Genomic DNA, 17801 nt, shown 5'->3' with positions numbered 1-17801 from the left:
CCACCTGTGTAGATAGATGTTCATTCTGAATGTTATTTGAGGTGAAATTATTTGAAATGGTAAAGGAATAGGTCTTCGGGGAGTCTTGACAATCTAGAGTCTTAAGTCTGGATTGACTTAGACTTTTCCTGCTCTTATTTTTCATTGTTTTAAAAAAATTGTTTTTTTATTTCCTGCTAATATTAAGACTGTTATATTTTAGTTCATTTAGGTCATGACATACTTTGCTTTTCAAAATAGCAAACCTTGATCAGTTAACTGCAATTAAATGACTTGTTTAAAATAATATAGTGGGTAGAAATATAAGAAAAATATAAAAATAATATAGTGGGTAGAAATTAAAACTAAACTCACAAAGTTATGCCTTTGTTTTAAAAAGTTTTTATGTTTAAAAGATGATATTCAGATAAATGCTTCTACTAAAATAATGTCACATTGGCTTATTTGTGGTCTGAAGAGTTGTAGCTTTGTCAGTGTCATTTACCCAGCAGTCTTCTTAATATCTGGTCTAACCTAGATCCTGGCTATTGCCTACTTATTGCACACAAATTTGGGTAGAGGTTTAGGAAGTCATCATGGGCTGATGTCTGTTCTCTCAACTTCCACACTTGTCAGTATTTCAAGTGGTAAAAACTTAAGAAAATATTTTCTGCCTCCTTCTCTCTCTATGCATACCTTGTGGGTAATTTCCTCAGATCTATGTTCTGTTTCACTGATTCTCTCTTTAGCTATGTTTGATCTGCTACTCAAATAACACTGAGTTTTTAATTTCATTGACTATATTTTCCATTTCTGAAGTTCTAGTTATTCAAATCTTTTTGATACTACATTATTCTTTTCTAGTGTTTCTTTCTTTTAAGTCATTTTAAACATACTTATTTAATAATCTCTGTTAATTCTGTTTTCTGAAATTCTCTGTGAGAGTGGTAGGTGTCTGCTTGTGGTGGATTATTTCCTCATGTGTTTTGTAATTATTTGAACTCATTTTAAGAGGGGCTTTATCTGTGGGACTATCAGGGATTGGGAATGAGACTTCCCAGAGAGTATTACCAGTCCAGGTCCATTTTTAATTAAACTTAAATCAGTTTGGGGTTTCTGGGACCACATGTCAGTAAATTTAAACTTTAAACCCTCCTGAAAGCAGGCCTATGTTTTGTGAAATCTCTTGGCCAATGTTTCTCAGACCTAAAGCCCATTCCAAAACAGACATACTTCCCCATGATTTCCATGTGATGCTAAGTGCATTTGTTCTAATCTGTTGTTTCGTTGAGAGTACAGTTCTTCAGGAATCTTATCTTTATGCATGATATATGTGTACTTGTTTCTCCTTACTAGTCCCCAAGGCTTCAGACACCTTGGTCACCAAGACTGGCACAAATCTGCCCCAGGTCATCTCCAGCTTCCATTGATGCTTAGCATTCCGACTTTTTCTTTCTTTCTGCTTCTTTTTCTTCTTTCTCTCTTTGTGTGTGTGTGTGTATGGTGGGGTTGAGGGGAATCAAGGAATTTACTTTATTGCTTTCCCAGTTATTATAAAAGGATGTTCATTACTTCTAACTAGCATTTCCAAGTTTTTGTCATAAATGGGAGGCCCTTCACATTAATTTGTGTACCTTGATGCCAAAAACAGAAGTCATTACATTAAAAAAAAAACAAACTCTCTCTACATATATATTTTCCGGCATATAAGTTTTCATATATATATATATATATAAAATTCCTATGTATATTTATATTTGAAGATTGGAAATACGTACCTAATTGCCTAATCTGTCACTTAAAATTTCTTTTTGGCCAGGTGCAGTGGCTCACATCTGTAATCCTAGCACTTTGTGAGGCTGAGATGGGAGGATCACTTGAGGTCAGGAGTTCAAAACCAGGCTGACCAACATGATGAAACTCCATCTCTACTAAAAAACAGAAAAATATTAGCTGAGTATGGTGGTATGCACCTGTAGTCCCAGCTACTCAGGAGGCTGAGGCAGGAGAATCGCTTGAACCCCGGAGATGGAGGTTGCGGTGGGCCAAGATTGCGCCACCAGACTCCAGCCTGGGCTACAGAGCAAGCAAGACTCCATCTCAAAAAAAAAAAAAAAAAAAAAAAAAATTTTTTTTTTTTTTTACTTAGAGACTAGATCTTGCTCTGTTGTCCAGGCTGTTCTCAAATTCCTGGCTCCAAGCAATCCTCCCACCTCAGCCTCCCAAAGTGCTGGGATTGTAGGTGTGAGCCACCACACTCAGCCTGTCACTGTTCACAAAATTATTTAATTTTTATATATGTAATTCATTTACATTAGGTCAGATATGAAAAAGTGTAAAACAGTGTACCGTGAAGTCTTTCTTCTACCATTATCCTCCTCCTGCCTAATTTCCATTGCTCCCAATAGGTAATAACTGTACTAATTTCTTGTTTTTTTGTCAAGACATATTTTTATACATATGTGACAATAACAATATGACATTGCTGAGTGTGGTGGCTCACGCCTGTAATCCTAGCACTTTGGGAGGCTGGGGTGGGTGGATCACTTGAGGCCAGGAGTTTGAGACCAGCCTGGCCAACGTGGCAAAACCTTGTCTCTACCAAAAATACAAAAAGTGTGGTGGCACACGCCTGTAATCCCAGCTACTAGGGTGGCTGAGACAGGAGAATTCCTTGAACCCGGGAGGTGGAGGTTTCAGTGAGCCAAGATTGTGCCACTGCACTTCAGCTTGGGTGACAGAGTGAGACTCTATCTCAAAAAAATAAATAAAAACAAAATAAAAATATGACATACCCTTCCACCCACCCCCTGCCTTTTTTTTTTTCTTTGGAGACGGAGTCTTGCACTGTTGCCAGGCTGGAGTGCAGTGGCACAATCTTGGCTCACTGCAAGCTCTGCCTCCCGGGTTCACACCATTCTCCTGCCTCAGCCTCCCAAGTAGCTGGGACTACAGGTGCCCGCCACCATACCTGGCTAATTTTTTGTATTTTTAGTAGCGACAGGGTTTCACTGTGTTAGTCAGGATGGTCTCAATCTCCTGACGTTGTGATCCGCCCACCTTGGCCTGCCAAAGTGAGCCACCACACCCAGCCTTTTTTTAGACAGAGTCTCACTCTATCGGCCAGGCTGGAGTGCAGTGGCACACGATCTCAGCTCACTGCAACCACCACCTCCCAGGCTCAAGCAATTCTCCTGCCTCAGCCTCCCGAGTAGCTAGGATTACAGCTGCCCGCCCCCACGCCTGGCTAATTTTTGTATTTTTAGTAGAGACGGGGTTTCACCATGTTGGCCAGGCTGGTCTCAAACTCCTGACCTCAGGTAATCTGCCCATCTCAGCCTCCCAAAGTGCTGGGATTACAGGCATGAGCCATCGTGCCCGGCCATTCCACCCCTTTTTTAACCCAGATGTTAATACACCATAAGTAATGCTCTGTACTTTGCTTCTTAAACAGATGTGTTAAAATATATCTTGGAGATCTTTCTTTGTCAGTCATGTAAGAAGCCTCCTTATTCTTTCTGTATGGTTGTACCAGGCAGTTGATGGACATTTAATCTGTGGTGCTTTCCATCACTTTTTCATCTAAGAGCTCACAGAGATTGTTCTCAGATGCCATTTTGTTTCACTTCTTTTTTCTTCAATAACCTCTTATCTTCCATTTACCCAGGATCAACTTGCAGCAGACATGTACAACTTTATGGCCAAAGAAGGGGAGTATGGCAAATTCTTTGTTACGGTAAGCACCTTCCCTTGAGAAAATGTTAAAGCATTGTTAAAATGGAGTCATTTTAGCTTTTTTGCAAAAGATTTCATTTTTAGTTTTGCTCAGCCATTGTGTGTGTGTCCATCCGATGCTAACGTTACTTTTGTTTTTGAATGTGGGTCTGTTCTCAGTTATTAGAAGCCCAAGCAGATTACCATAGAAAAGCATTAGCAGTCTTAGAAAAGACCCTCCCCGAAATGCGAGCCCATCAAGGTAATGTAACCCGCGTGCGGCTGATGCTTCCTTCTTGCCTCTGCCACCTCTGCCTGGGTTCTTCTTCACCCTGACTCCTCTGCATGCACGTCCTTGGGATAAAGCTTCTCTGCCTAGGAGGGTACTGTTTCCCAGCATAATTTCATCTTCCTTGCTGCATTCTCTAATTTCTTCCAAACCCAAATTAACACACTAATGGAACATTTGTAGTTCTTCTGAAACCTTCAGTTGAAGAGAAAGCTGGCCTCTTTGGGGAGTACCTGTGTGTTTTCCCATCTTCTGTAGGCTTGAAAAAGTCCAGCATTGAATGATCCTTTTCCACATCAGTTATTTGTTCCACAGGACTTAATTCTGGCCATGTGACTCCAAGAGCATCCATTCTAGGGAAAATATTTTGGACTTTCCAAAAGAGAAGCCAGTACTTGATGCCACATCATGCACGTCACACTTAATAATAAGTGTGATTGAATCCTAAGACCGTGGTCGCTTCGTTCAGACTCCTCCTTTGTCTTTATACTAAGCTTTTGTTCTTATCACCATTAATATTTCTCCTATCATATTCAAGCACACTGCAGATTGTATCTGCAAGTTAGGTGCAGACTGAACTTTCCCCTTATGTTGAATTTTAAGTTGGGCATCTAAAGCTGCTTTTTTTTTTTTCTCTCCCTAAAGCTTTCGATGCTGTGTCTCTCTGATTTACCATTAGAGCATTTACCAGCAGAGATGAGCACAGCTGTTGAGTCAGAAATTGCTCGGCCGTCTTTGGATCTATTTCACCTGTGGTGTAGACCTGACATTTGGAGCTTATGCTCCTCTGCAGAACCACTGGTCTTGAGCTGAAAGGGGATCAGGCCAGGTGCTGAGTGGGATGACTTTGTGATTTTGAGACCGAGCATGTGTCTGTGTGTGTTGTGGGGGGGATGCTTTGTGGATGTGCATACATACCAGCACCTTCAAGAATGCGACTTCTTCTCCCCCTAAGTTCCAGGAGATCCTCACAGGTTCTGGCTTTGTGCCTGAAAATTTTGGGATTATGGAATTATAAAATTTTATGTCTTGCCTGACCATATAGTCAGATCTTCAGCATTCTCAGGGGCAGTGTTTCTGATTTTCTCAGCCATTGCCCTTGCCTTCCCAAATAATCAAGATTATTAGTTCATGGAGGATGGTGTTGAGTCACAGTGCAAAGGAACGAGGTCTCTGGAAAATGTTCCCACCTTTCTAGGGACAGACTCTTGCTGGGCAAGTTCAGAGGACCAAGAAAATATATTTATGAGATATCTGCTGTGGGCTGGGCCCCGCATAGGACAAAATAGTAGACAAATCATCATTTTAGCCTTTGAATGGCTGAGAGTCTGATTTGAAAGAGTTGATTAACAAGAGGAAAAACGAGAGATTGGATTTTTTTTCGCATTTTGTTTGTTTGTTTGTTTTAAAGAGACAAAGTCTCACTCTGTTGCCCAGGCTAGACTAGAACTCTCATTCTGTTTTTTTCCCAAGGGTATTTTCCCTAGAGAAATACATCAGGAAGCCATGGAGAGCGGGGATGGGACAGGAAAGAGGTTAGGATGGAACAGCCCGTGGAGGAAGTGCGATTTGTCCTTCTTGCTGAGGTCACCCTTTACCGAGTTGCAATTCAACCCCTCCCACCTCTGCCTGTCCTTGTACCTGCCTTTCATCTTAGTTCTGTCTTTTCTTTCCTTGCTGTCTTCTCTGTTTTCAGAAAGACTTATCTTGTCCTTACTATATAAAAAAAGTGTGACCTGCCCCCACAGCCCCCTCACCTCCGTGGACTCTGGTGTCACATTCATGGTCAGTTGGTGGTAATCTGGTACCTTCCTGACCTGAACACAGCGTCCTGTTTAATCTGGTTCTCCTTCATTTTTTCTGGTGGGTACTTCAGATGACCCCTTCCTGCCTGCCACCTGCATTTTCTTACCACCTTCCTACTCCTGAATCCTTTGCACTCTTGTGTCTACCCCCAATCCCTCTGCTGTTTAGGAAAAAAGAGCAAAACATACTGCAGTTTTCAAAGGACCAGCAACCACCCGTCAGATCCTGGCATTTGACCCGGCATGGGCCGTCCCTTCCTTATTCATTTTTGTCTCCTCACGCCACTCGACTGTCTTCTTTCATTGTAAGGACTCTGCATTGCTCCATTTCTTTTTAAAAATTTTTCTTCAAGAAGGATTATATATTGCTCATTTCTGTCTCCACCCCAGAAGTCAGCCTTTTCTGAGGTCCAGTCCTTGCACCTCTGTTCTCTCCCACCCTCACTTCCTCGCCCCCTTTTCCCTAGAAATCCCCTTACTTGGACAGCTTTGCCTCTTACCTGCATTTTAATCCTTGCAGCCTCCTAAGCATCGGTTCCCTTTGATGAACAGCACTCACCTTAAACTCAAAAAGCAAACCAGTCCTCTTCCCACTCCAACTGTCCCTTTTCTCCCTTCTTGTCTCCCTTATATCACCTTTCTCCAAGTGATTCAGGTCTTAACCTTGGAACCCTTTTCTCCTTCCTCTCTTCCATCCAGTGCCTGGGTTCTGTCCATTTCGCCCTAGGCTCTGTCATCCTCTCTTCCCCTGGCCCACTCTGCTCCATGCTCTCACGGCCTTGGCGTGAACTTGGGATAAGATGTAAATTCCCAGACTCACAATTCCTGATCTTTTCTCAGCTGATTGCCCCTCACAAAGATGTGTTTGTCCGTTTTTCAGCCTGTTTAATCTCTGTCCGTCTCATGAGACCCCCTCCAACCTCATTTCCTTTGAGAAGCCTTCTCCGACAGCTGAAGCCAATGGCAAACACTTTGCCTCTTGAATTGTGCCAGCATTTATGGTCTACACCAGAAGTCGCAAACAGCCATATCTCATTAAAAATTGTTAAAAGTTGGTTGTCATCATGTGAAAACCAGATGGTTTGATGTAACAATTCTGATTTCTGGCTTCTCCTGAAAGTTGAGAACATCTGGCAACACTGGCTTTGCTTTCCCACGTGGCAGTGTTGGTTTGGTGCAGAGGAGTGGTTATCGCCTGTCGGCAGATCGTGCACTCCCAGCAGGATTTGTGCCCCTGTGCTACCTATCCGACTCCTCTGGACAATTGCATTTGCAACCCTTGTCTATACCATCGATCTGCCATGACTTAGCAAATATGTCTTGTCTTGTTATTGACTGTTCTGTGTTTACATGTGTGTCTTATATTCCCTTCACAATTCAATTGCCCTCTTCCTGAGGGTAGGGAGTCTCTGTTAACTTTACATGCCTCCTGCAGTACCTGACACATAGTAGGTCTGTTGTTTGAGAGGCCAGTGCCTGAGGTGGAATTTGCCTTATGACTTGCTTCTAGGTCAGTGGTTCTCACTTGCACCCTCTGTCAACATTATACCAGGCTTGGGGGTGGGGTACACTCTGTCCAGTGTTTACTAGAAAGTTCCAGCAGAGGTTTGAAGCATGCCCGCCCCTTAGCATTACAGGGTTGGGCTTGTGGTGAAGGCAATGGCGGGTGTCATTTGCAGAACCCCCCTGGGTGATTCCAGGGCATCCCCTAGTGGAAGGCTCACGTGGCCATTTTCAGCCTGTGTTGTAACTTATTGCTTTAGATAAAAGGGACAAAGTATTTCAGGTAAGATTTGACCTCTGGGAAGGTCCAGACCCCCAGATGCGTTTTCTATTGGAAATTCCCCAGCTGGGGCCGGGCCAGAGACGAGGAGGGCTCCCCACAATTCTGAGAGTGGCTGGTGGCCTGCACCTCATTTTTGTCCCCCACCTTCCTTTCCCTCACCCCTTTCTTCAGTCTTTACCTCTTGCTCTTTCCATCCATTTTTACCTTTCCACAAGCTCTCGGTTCTATGGATTTGTGGGATTTTATTTTTCTTCCTTCCCCATGTGCAAATCTACCCCTGCTGTGACATGGGAGAGAGTGTAAGAGGACACACCAGAGTACATACTGCCTTCTTCCAACCCAGCTTTCTAACAGCAGAGCTGCTAAGGGACCAATGGCCAGTAAAGGTGCAGAGAAGGACATGAACCCTTCCTGTTGTTGGAAAGATTTAAGTGTTTCTCCCTGGAGCAGTTTTCACAACTGGTTTGCCCTCCTTTGCTTCTGCGAGCTGCTCAGATAGCACTAGATCTCTGCAGCTTGCACAGGCAGGCCAAATTCAACCAGATACTTCTTATTCTAATTCATATGTCCGTTCTCTAAATTCTTCTTTCTATTTTACTGCTTCATTGTATTTGTGCTAAGCTGCCTCATAACCTGAAGATAATCTAAAATATGGCTTTCCTGCCATCAGCATAGCCTTCAGCTGCTTTAGGGCTGCAGATGCTGCATTTCTTTCCACTCAGAATTTTTCGGAGCTGTTTGGGGATGCGGTGTTCTGAAGCACTGCATGCCGCGGAGATGTCGCATCTGATGGAGAGTAACTGCAACGTGGAGAGTTCACGTTGGCCATCTCCAGTCTTGTATGACAGATACTTAACTTGTGTTTGAAATTTTCAGAGATCATTTCCATTTTTGCATAGCAAAGAATCTATTTCTTGTCCTCTAGCTAGAAGGCTTTGCATGGCTAGAATAAATTTCTTTTCAACGAAACGGTATGCTCTGGCAAATCTTCCTTTTGGTTCAAGGCAGCCCACTAAACCCGCTGGCGTGTGTTGATGAAGTGTGGTGCAGGTGCAGCGTGCCACTGCAGCTTCTGGGCAGCCTGAGTTGGTGCCATCTAGGTACGCTCAGGCTTCTGTTCCACAAGTAACCGCCCCAGCCTGGTCCATAGTTTGCTGCTCCAGTAGATGGCAAATAACAAAAGCAAATAGAACAGATGTATCCCCTCTTGCACAGCCTCACCTACCAGTCGGCTAGAAAAGCCCATTGGGTAGTTGGGGAGAAAATAGCTTGGTAATGCCGTGAGTTTGTTGGGTGTCTAACTGAACAATTTGCTGCTCTAGATAAGTGGGCGGAAAAACCAGCCTTTGGGACTCCCCTAGAAGAACACCTGAAGAGGAGCGGGCGCGAGATTGCGCTGCCCATTGAAGCCTGTGTCATGCTGCTTCTGGAGACAGGCATGAAGGAGGAGGTGAGGGGAGCTTCGTGATCCTGTGCACCAAGTCTCCATGCCCCTTGTTGTACCCAGAGCACCATGCTCCCCGCCAGCCCCCTGTCCACCCCTGCTTAGTTATACAGCCATTGTCCGTTTTGTGTAGAACAGTGGCTTTCAAGCTTTTGTCACCATGATCCATATTTTAAATTGCAACCCTGTTCCCTATGATACCTATCTGTCTATGAATGAAACAAAGGTTTTACAAAACAATGTTTACCTTTCCTGATTGTGGTACACCCTGACCTCTTTGTGTCCTGTTTGATTGTTTCATTTAAAACTCTGGTTGTGATTTGTGACAATAGATTTCGTGACGCACTAATGGGCTAAGGAGCTTTAGTTTACATTTGCATAGTATTATGCAGTTTTTTTGGTTGGAGGTCATTTACATACTTAATTTTACAGGATTCTTACCCCAAACCCCCCATGAACCAAATAAGGGAGTTTTTATTACTCTTCTTGTATAAATAAGGAAGTCAGCATGCAGGGAGTTTACTCCAGGTCAGAGCTAGAATCAAAATGCAAGGCTTTTTTTTTTTCCTTTTTAAAGCTTTGTATTGAAATAGAACGTACATACAGAAAAGCATACATATCATAGGTGTACAGCTTGATGTGCTTGCATGACTAAACCCACCCATGGAGTCGGCGCTCAGATCAAAGAACATCCCGGAAGCCCTCCTTGTGTTTGCTTCCAGCCACTCCCCTTCTAACAGCCTACATTGGTGCTTCTTGTCTGGGGCCAGATTTGCTCCCCAGGAGACATTTGTCAAGGTCTGGAGGTATTTTGGATCATCACAACTGAGAAGAGGAGGTGTTACTGTCATCTAGTAGTAGAGGCCATGTGTATTCGTCCATTCTCACACTGCTGTAAAGAACTACCTGAGCCTGGGTAATTTATGACGAAAAGAGCTTTACCTGACTCACAGTTCCACAGGCTGTACAGGAATCGTGGCTGGAGAGGCCTCAGGAAACTTACAGTCATGGCGGAAGGGGAAGCAGGCAGTGTTCACGTGGTGGAACAGGAGGGAAAGAGCGAGCATGCGCACAAAGGGGGAGTTGCTACACACTTTCAAACAACCAGATCATGTGAGATCTCACTCACTATCACAAGAACAGCAAAAGGGAAATCCACCCCCATGATCCAGTCACCTCCCACCAGGCCCTGCCTTCAACACTGGAGATCATACTTCCACATGAGATTTGGGTGGGGACACAGAACCAAACCATATCACCATGGATTCTGCTAAACATCCTACAGGGCACAGGACAACCTCCAACAAAAAATCATCCAGCCTAAAATGTCCATAGTGCTGAGGTCAAGAAACTCTGCCCAGATTAATTTTCTTCCTGCCTGTCCCTGTGCTTGGGTGCGTGCTCAGCCCTCATCATTCCTCCTGACAGCCCTGCAGGGCAGGCAGTAACACTGCTTTCATAGACAGGAGGTGAGCGGAAGTCAGGAAATACCCATCAGAACACACTGCCACTTAGTCTGAGTGTCCCAACCTGCACTTGATGCTGATGGCTTTTCATTATCTTTAGGGCCTTTTCCGAATTGGGGCTGGGGCCTCCAAGTTAAAGAAGCTGAAAGCTGCTTTGGACTGTTCTACTTCTCACCTGGATGAGTTCTATTCAGACCCCCATGCTGTAGCAGGTGAGCGCCAAAGAGTGTCTGCAAATCAAGTCACCCTCAAGGCGGTGGGCAGGTTCTGTCTCAGACAGATGGTCAGTTAAAATCCAATTTCAGTTACAGGTTTAAGTGACAAAACCGAAGTGGCTCTTGCTACAATTCCTTAGTGTATATACAATGTAATGTACACTGTGTCTTCTTTACTCCTTTTCTGTTTTTCTATTTTGATGATTAAAAGAGAGAGTAGCTTATAATGCAAATATTTGGAGACATATTTGTATTTTCTTCCCATCTTTCACAGTCTCCCCCCACCAAATTCCTTTCTACCTGGAGAAATTATGTCTGTTAAGGGGATGACTTTAAAACTAATTTTATTTGTAATTGATCTCTTAAAACTTTTTTTTTTCAGAGATTGAATTTGTTTTATGAACATTTTAGTCTCTAACAACTCTTGCCAACTTATGATTTGTTATGTACACCTTGGAAGATCGTTATTGAGATCATTTCAATTTGCAAAATAATATGTCCCAAGATTCCTAGCCTTACCCCTTTTTCATACTCAAAGAGAGTGTTAATGATTTCAGGTGCTTTAAAATCCTATTTACGGGAATTGCCTGAACCTTTGATGACTTTTAATCTGTATGAAGAATGGACACAAGTTGCAAGGTAAGTTTAAAGAACACAGAGTTGTAAATGTTAAAGGGAATGAAGTGATATTGTGCCCTATTTGCAAATCATTTTATTCTCAGGGATCATAAGATTAAAATAGCGTATTTGTTAAATAATACATGTCTCAGCTCTTATTTATGTTTAGAATAAAAATATCAAGTATTATAATTATTAGTGTAGGAAAGTCACCACGTAGGCATTGGTTTAAATTTGTGTTATTTAGGTGGATGAAGACATAGAGTGGTACCCACATTAATGGATTTGCAAATTTCCAGCCCCCTTTATGTTGAAGAAAGCCCTGTAACTGGGGATAGGGGTCATACTGACCCGTGGCAGTGTGCCTTTTGAGCTGTGTGCAGTCTCACCTGTGCGATAATACAGTTGGCCTTTAAACAGCATGGGGATTAGGGGCATTGATACCCTACATAATTGCAAATTCAAGTATACTTTTAACTCCCTCAAAACAACTAATAGCATACTGTTGACTGGAAGCCTTACTGATAACCTAGTCAATTAACACATATTTTGTATGTTGTATGTATTATATACTGTATTCTTACAATAGATAAGCTAGAGAAAAAGTACTATTAAGAAAATTGTAAGGAGGAGACAATCTGTTTACTATTCATTAAGGGGAAGTGGATCATCTTAAAGGTCTTCATCCTTGTCTTCATGTCGAGTAGGTTGAAGAAGCAGAGAAAGTGAAGGGGTTGGTCTTCCTGTTTCAGGGGTGGCAGTTCATCTGTGAGTTTTTTCAGATTGTCCGAGATCTCCAGGAATTTTCCTATATGTTTATTGAAAAATTTGCATATAAGTGGACCTTGTGTTGTCAGCTGTATAATGATGACATTAATATTTACTGAGCATTTTCTTGTGCTAAGTACTGTGCTCATCTTTGTAGCTATTACCTCCTGTAATCTTTAATTAACGTTATAAAAGGCAGATGATGTTGTGATCCACATTTTACAGAGAGGAAACTGAGGCTTGGGAGGGAACAGGGCCAGGAGAGTAGCAAGTAATTGGCAGAGCTAGAATTCAAACCAGACAGACCCAAATGCTATATTCCTCTACTTCGTCCCTTTCCCTCCACCCTCAGCTTCAGTCTGTCTAGGAACAGATGATTTTAAGCAGGACAGCTTTGTTTAAAAAGCCTAGAGGCTTCTGCTTGGCTGGCCAGCCCACCTCCTCGTCTTTTTTCTCATGGCGCTGACTCCCCTCCTCTCCAGAGTGCCTACTCCTCACCACTAAGGGAAGAGGAACAAATCTCACCTCTGTTCTGTCCTCTTCCCCGTCTACGGACACTGCCCCTGTTCCCTGCAGGCAGGCCATGATCAAATAAGAGCCACTTATTTCTGATCAGTTACACTTCAGTGGATGTGAGTCCATCGCTTGTGTCTTTAACCAGGTTTTGCATTTGAGCTTTTTTCTTTTTTTTTTTTTTTTTTTTTTGAGTTGGAGTCCCACTCTGTCGCCCAGGCTGGAGTGCAGTGGCACAGTCTAGGGTCACTGCAACCTCCACCTCCCTGGTTCAAGCAATTCCCCTGCCTCAGCCTCCTGAGTAGCTGGGATTACAGGCGCACACCACCATGCCTGGCTAATTTTTTTGTATTTTTAGTAGAGACAAGGTTTCACCATGTTGGCCAGACTGGTCTCAAACTCCTGACCTCAGGCAATCTGCCTGCCTCGGCCTCCCAAACTGCTGGGATTACTGGCATAAACCACCGCGCTCAGCCGCATTTGAGCTTTTCTCTGTAATTGTGGAATGAGACTTTGTCCCTGGTAGATGGTGAGGTTTTTAAGTTCAGAGACAAGTTCTTAGTCATCACGTATCCTTGGAACCCTGCCTGGGGCCCAGCCTGCTGTCAGTATTAATGTTTATGGGACAGAATTCAGTAGAATCCAACATCAGTGTTAGGTAGAAGAGAGTTGTGGGATTTCTTTTATTGGCTAGCCTCCTACCCAATAAAAGATTTCCTTGTTTATTACAAGGAAATAAACTTGTAAAAGAAGGCGTCTATCTGTTGGTATATTGATTCTATAGTTGAGAATTGTCAATATGGGTGGGCTTCCATCCCAGTAACACATCGACTGGCCTCTAAAGTGTAATTATGTTTAATCCCTATCCATGTTCTCCAGAATGGTTCTGTTCTGGAGGATATTTCACGTTCAAAGTGGTGTTATAGAGGCCCCTTTAACACTCTTGGTCCCTAGTGGGCAGAGTTGGCCGTGCTCTACAGGCTCCTCACTGCCCCTTTTTTATGTCTCTGCAAGTTTGTACGTTGCGCCTGTGGAGTGCAAGAGCTCTTACAGTTGCTTCACAACAGAAATGGGCTGCTTGATGTGCAGCCAGTTTGCAGTATTGCAAGCGAGGAAAGACCCAGAGGTCTGGGTGCCTGGGAGCTCAGCCCCCTGATCTGTGGCTGGGCTGCTTGAGGGTAGGAGAATTTGGGTTCTGTAAAGCCATACGTCAGTACACACTTTTTCTAGACAGAATTTTCAGTAGTGTCTTGTCTCTTCTGTGCCAAGCATTGGTGGAGGTGGTTTTGTCACAGACGCCTCAAAATCGTTCAGCAGAATCAACACTTACCCTGTTTTGCACATCCAGAGATTGAAGGTTAACCAACTGCGCAGAGTTAAACAGTTAATTGGTATTTGACTCTAAATCTGTTTATTTCCATAGCATGGGCTGTTTTCCAACTGTGCTTTCTCTGTCAAAATGGAGGCCTCATTTTTAACATAGCATATTAATAAGATAATTGGTGTCTTAATAAGTTGTTGTACTTAAAAGTTTTTGTTCTCAGTGTGCAGGATCAAGACAAAAAACTTCAAGACTTGTGGAGAACATGTCAGAAGTTGCCACCACAAAATTTTGTTAACTTTAGGTATGTATGATTGAGCTACAATGACTCTGGAGTGAAGATAAGTTTAATGCCCAGCAGAGAAGTCATTTAATTCAGGCATACTTGGCACATTAAAAAACAACAACAACAACAAAAAAAACCACATCACTTTGGAGAGTAACTTGGGGCTACTGGGAATGGGATTTCATGTATATTATGATGAATTTGAAGCATCAGTATCATGCCTGACATTAATACGTAAGTTGGCTTATCATTTTCCCACTACAGCTATTAGCAATAAATTTCTTGTGAAAAGTTTGAGTGACTGTATGTTGGGTTTGGAGTCCAAATCATCCAGTATGTTAAAAGGCAAAATTAATCAATAATTGTACATTCTGTAATGTCTTTTATATATGCTACTTAATTTAAAGTATAAATCATCTTACTAAATAAAATTTCAAAGAATGGAGATTATATATTGCTTTGTGGAATAACTGTGGTTTTAAGAAAATTTACCATGGGACAAAACTTCCATAATGTAACTTCTGTTTTCCTTTTGACTTAATATGTAACTTTGAACAAGTATAGAGAAAAGGAAAAAGTGGCCTCAGGTGGTAAAGTCACTCAAAACCAAACAAAGAAAATTTTCTAGAAAGTGCCCCTAGAAAATTTTCCTTGTTTGGTTTTGAGTGACATTAAGTGACCAGTCAGAATAGTTTACAGGTGATATGCCTGGAATGTTACTTGTCCTTAAATTCCGCCTTGGGCTCTCCTACTAAGCTAAGCTACATACTGCCTTTTAAATATTCCCTTTGATTAATTTAACTCACCCACCTTGGAATTACAGATACTCTTCCTCTATTCAGTGTATATGGTGAGAGCTCAGTACTTCTTAGTATGTTGAGAGTTTGGCTCTTTATTTTGTTTATTTTACTCTGTAATTGTTACTAATTGATTTTTGAATAGGGAGCACATTCCCATGGTTCAAAATTCAAATGGTATACGATGAAAAATCTCTCTCCTGTTCCCATACCCCAGCCACCCAGTTCCTCTCCTGGGATGCATCCAGTGTTTACAGTTTCTTATATATCCTCTCAGCAAGAGTTAATGTAGACGTAAGCAGATACATTCGTGTGTACATACTTGCCTGTGTGTTTTTCCTCTCACACCCCCTTTTTAAAAAACCAAATGGTAGTGTATATTGTATACGTCATTCTCCCCCTTACCTTTTTTGCTTGACAGCTTAAGGTATTTGCGTAATACATCTTGGAGATTTTTCCTTCTCAGTACATTTTGTAATGATGGTAGCATAGTCCTCCACTGTATGGATATACTGTGATTTATTTAAGCAGCTCCCTATTGATAGGTTGTTCTTACGTTTTTGCCTTTATATGACTGTACTTATACATAAGGTAGGTATATATGATAAATTGGATATTTTTATAATTCCACCATAAAGTGTTTTCAAATACAGTTTCCTGTAAGCAATATAACTGTGTCTGTTTTTGTATTTAAAAATATTGAGCTCACTATTAACACATTATAACTTATAATAGGGGTAGAATAGATAGGACATAAAGGAGAAATTGATTAGAAATATACAGCCAATAGGGGTTCAAATCACTGAGATTTAGACTTAACCTATTTTCTTCTTCCAAGCCCTAATTAGTCTATTATCTGAAGCAAAGAACACAAGAAATGTATAAAATGCTTCACCTGAGCCAGATTCTGATTTAGGAACCCTCTGCAGTTAGCACCTGAGCAAACTGGGATTGTGCACCCAGGCAGGAAGAGAACATTCCAGCAGCTATTTCAGAGGAGAAACCCTCCCCTTCTCTTTTGACCCCTAGATATTTGATCAAGTTCCTTGCAAAGCTTGCTCAGACCAGCGATGTGAATAAAATGACTCCCAGCAACATTGCGATTGTGTTAGGCCCTAACTTGTTATGGGCCAGAAATGAAGGGTAAGTCATCTTTCTCTGTATCATTTGAATTTCTTCTTTCCCACCTGATGGGATGCATAGAAATGTAACTCAGGTTACACATTCTAGTTTAAGATCAATTCAAGGTATTCTGAAGTTGGTTTTCTCATTCAGCCTATATTCTTGGAACACAGCTGTGAGCTGGGTGCTGTCCCAGCTGGTGGTGACACAAAGATGTGTGAGACATTGTCCCAGTTCTCAAAATGCCCCTGCTCTTAGGCAGTCAGATAGCTCAGTGGCTACAGTACAGTGATAAGAAAAATACACATATTTATGTGTGTGTATATATGATATTGTAGGAGGGGTAGCACTTCCACCCTCTTAGGGTGTCTGGCTGGGCCTGAGAACTAAATGGACATAAGACAGGTTAACAGGAGAAAGCATACAGATTTTTACATTTTAATGCCCAGCAGAGAAGCCATTTAATTCATGCCTACTTAGCACATTAATAAAAAAACACATCACTTTGGAGAGTAACTTGGGACTACTGGGAATGGGATTTCACGTATATTATGATGAATTTGAAGCATCAGTGTCATGTCTGACATTGGAGTTCCCATAGGAAAAGGAAGATCCAAAGAAGCAGGTGGAACTGAATGCTTATATATGAAGTTGGACAAAAAGTAAATTGTGAAAACGTGACCAGACAAAGGAGCATGGGCTAGGGCAGTTAGTTGTGGAGAAGTGACTAGGAAGATAAGGATTCGTTCAGCAAGGTTTGTTTATGGAGGTTTCCCTCAGCCTTGCCTCCCCGTCCCTGGTGTTAGGAATGTTTCTTTCCTCCTGGTATAAGGAGGGCATCCTTCACATGGGAGTTTATCTCCTGCTTTCAGGATGAAAAAGGAAGGTCGGAGCCCTCTTCTTGCATGTGATGGTTTTCAAGTGTCTTTAACTCAAAATAATCCTATGCCTAAGGAGCATATTTTGGGATAGCGTATTCTGCCCCCTTTATCAAGTATGACGGCAGCAGAGGTAAAGAAACATAATTCAGGCTGAGAAGTCAGGGAAAGCTCTGGTTAGGGAATGGCACTGGAGCTGTACCTTGATGAGTTAACAGTTTCGTACAGCCAGGACCTGGATGGGCCAAGACACTGTTGAAAGGGCCTGGTTTCCATCGTTTATGGGCATGTCACGTGGCTTCGTGAAACTTGAAGACAGAGAACATGAGGCTGTGACTGGGAAGGCCAGAGCCTTCAAGGGCCTCACACATTGTACTGAGGTGTCTGGGACTTATTTTCTGGGTGGTGGGGAGTCATTCATTAAGGTTCCTAAGCAGAATAATGTCTTAAGTTGCACTTAGATAACTTTATTGGCATTGCAAAATGTAGATTGAATAGAGGAGGGGTCGGGGGATCCGCTGGAAAGCTTCTGGGAAATTGTCACTCTGTGGATGGCATTGTGATGATCTCATTTAGTAATCAGAAGTAACCTTTTGAATAGAGGACATAAAGGAGAAATTGATTAGAAATATATAGCAAATAGAGGTTGAATCATTGACATTTATACTGTTGTCCTTGTTTTTGCAGATGAGGACGCTGACTCTTAGAAAGAAAAAGTAATTTGCTTAAGGTCACACAGCAGGGAACTGGTGTGCCCAGGTTCTGGATACAGAGCCTGTGTCCTTATTAACCCTTATTAG

The 17801-nt window shown here is 42.3% G+C and overlaps 1 protein-coding gene across 19 annotated transcripts in view; it reads left to right on the top strand.

Moving 5' to 3' along the window:
- The window catches only part of ARHGAP17 (Rho GTPase activating protein 17), a 95981-nt gene that overhangs the window by 51744 nt on the left and 26436 nt on the right, over nt 1-17801 (top strand). For 9 of the 19 annotated variants that reach the window (XR_950809.3, XM_011545878.4, XM_047434316.1 and 6 more), the window contains exons 8-15: nt 3647-3715; nt 3874-3955; nt 8578-8673; nt 8896-9023; nt 10584-10695; nt 11256-11337; nt 14142-14222; nt 16031-16144. Coding sequence is in view for 18 of the 19 variants with exons in the window: in XM_011545878.4 (XP_011544180.1) it covers nt 3647-3715; nt 3874-3955; nt 8578-8673; nt 8896-9023; nt 10584-10695; nt 11256-11337; nt 14142-14222; nt 16031-16144 (764 nt within the window). In the remaining variant the exon portion in view is untranslated. Of the gene's footprint in view, nt 1-3646; nt 3716-3873; nt 3956-8577; nt 8674-8895; nt 9024-10583; nt 10696-11255; nt 11338-14141; nt 14223-16030; nt 16145-17801 lie in introns of those variants that run through there. The other 10 variants (NM_018054.6, XM_047434318.1, NM_001006634.3 and 7 more) reach the window with 2 other exon arrangements.

Source organism: Homo sapiens, chromosome 16, assembly GCF_000001405.40.
Source record: "Homo sapiens chromosome 16, GRCh38.p14 Primary Assembly".
Classification (NCBI taxonomy): Eukaryota; Metazoa; Chordata; class Mammalia; order Primates; family Hominidae; genus Homo; species Homo sapiens.
This window is presented reverse-complemented; position numbering and strand designations above follow the sequence as displayed.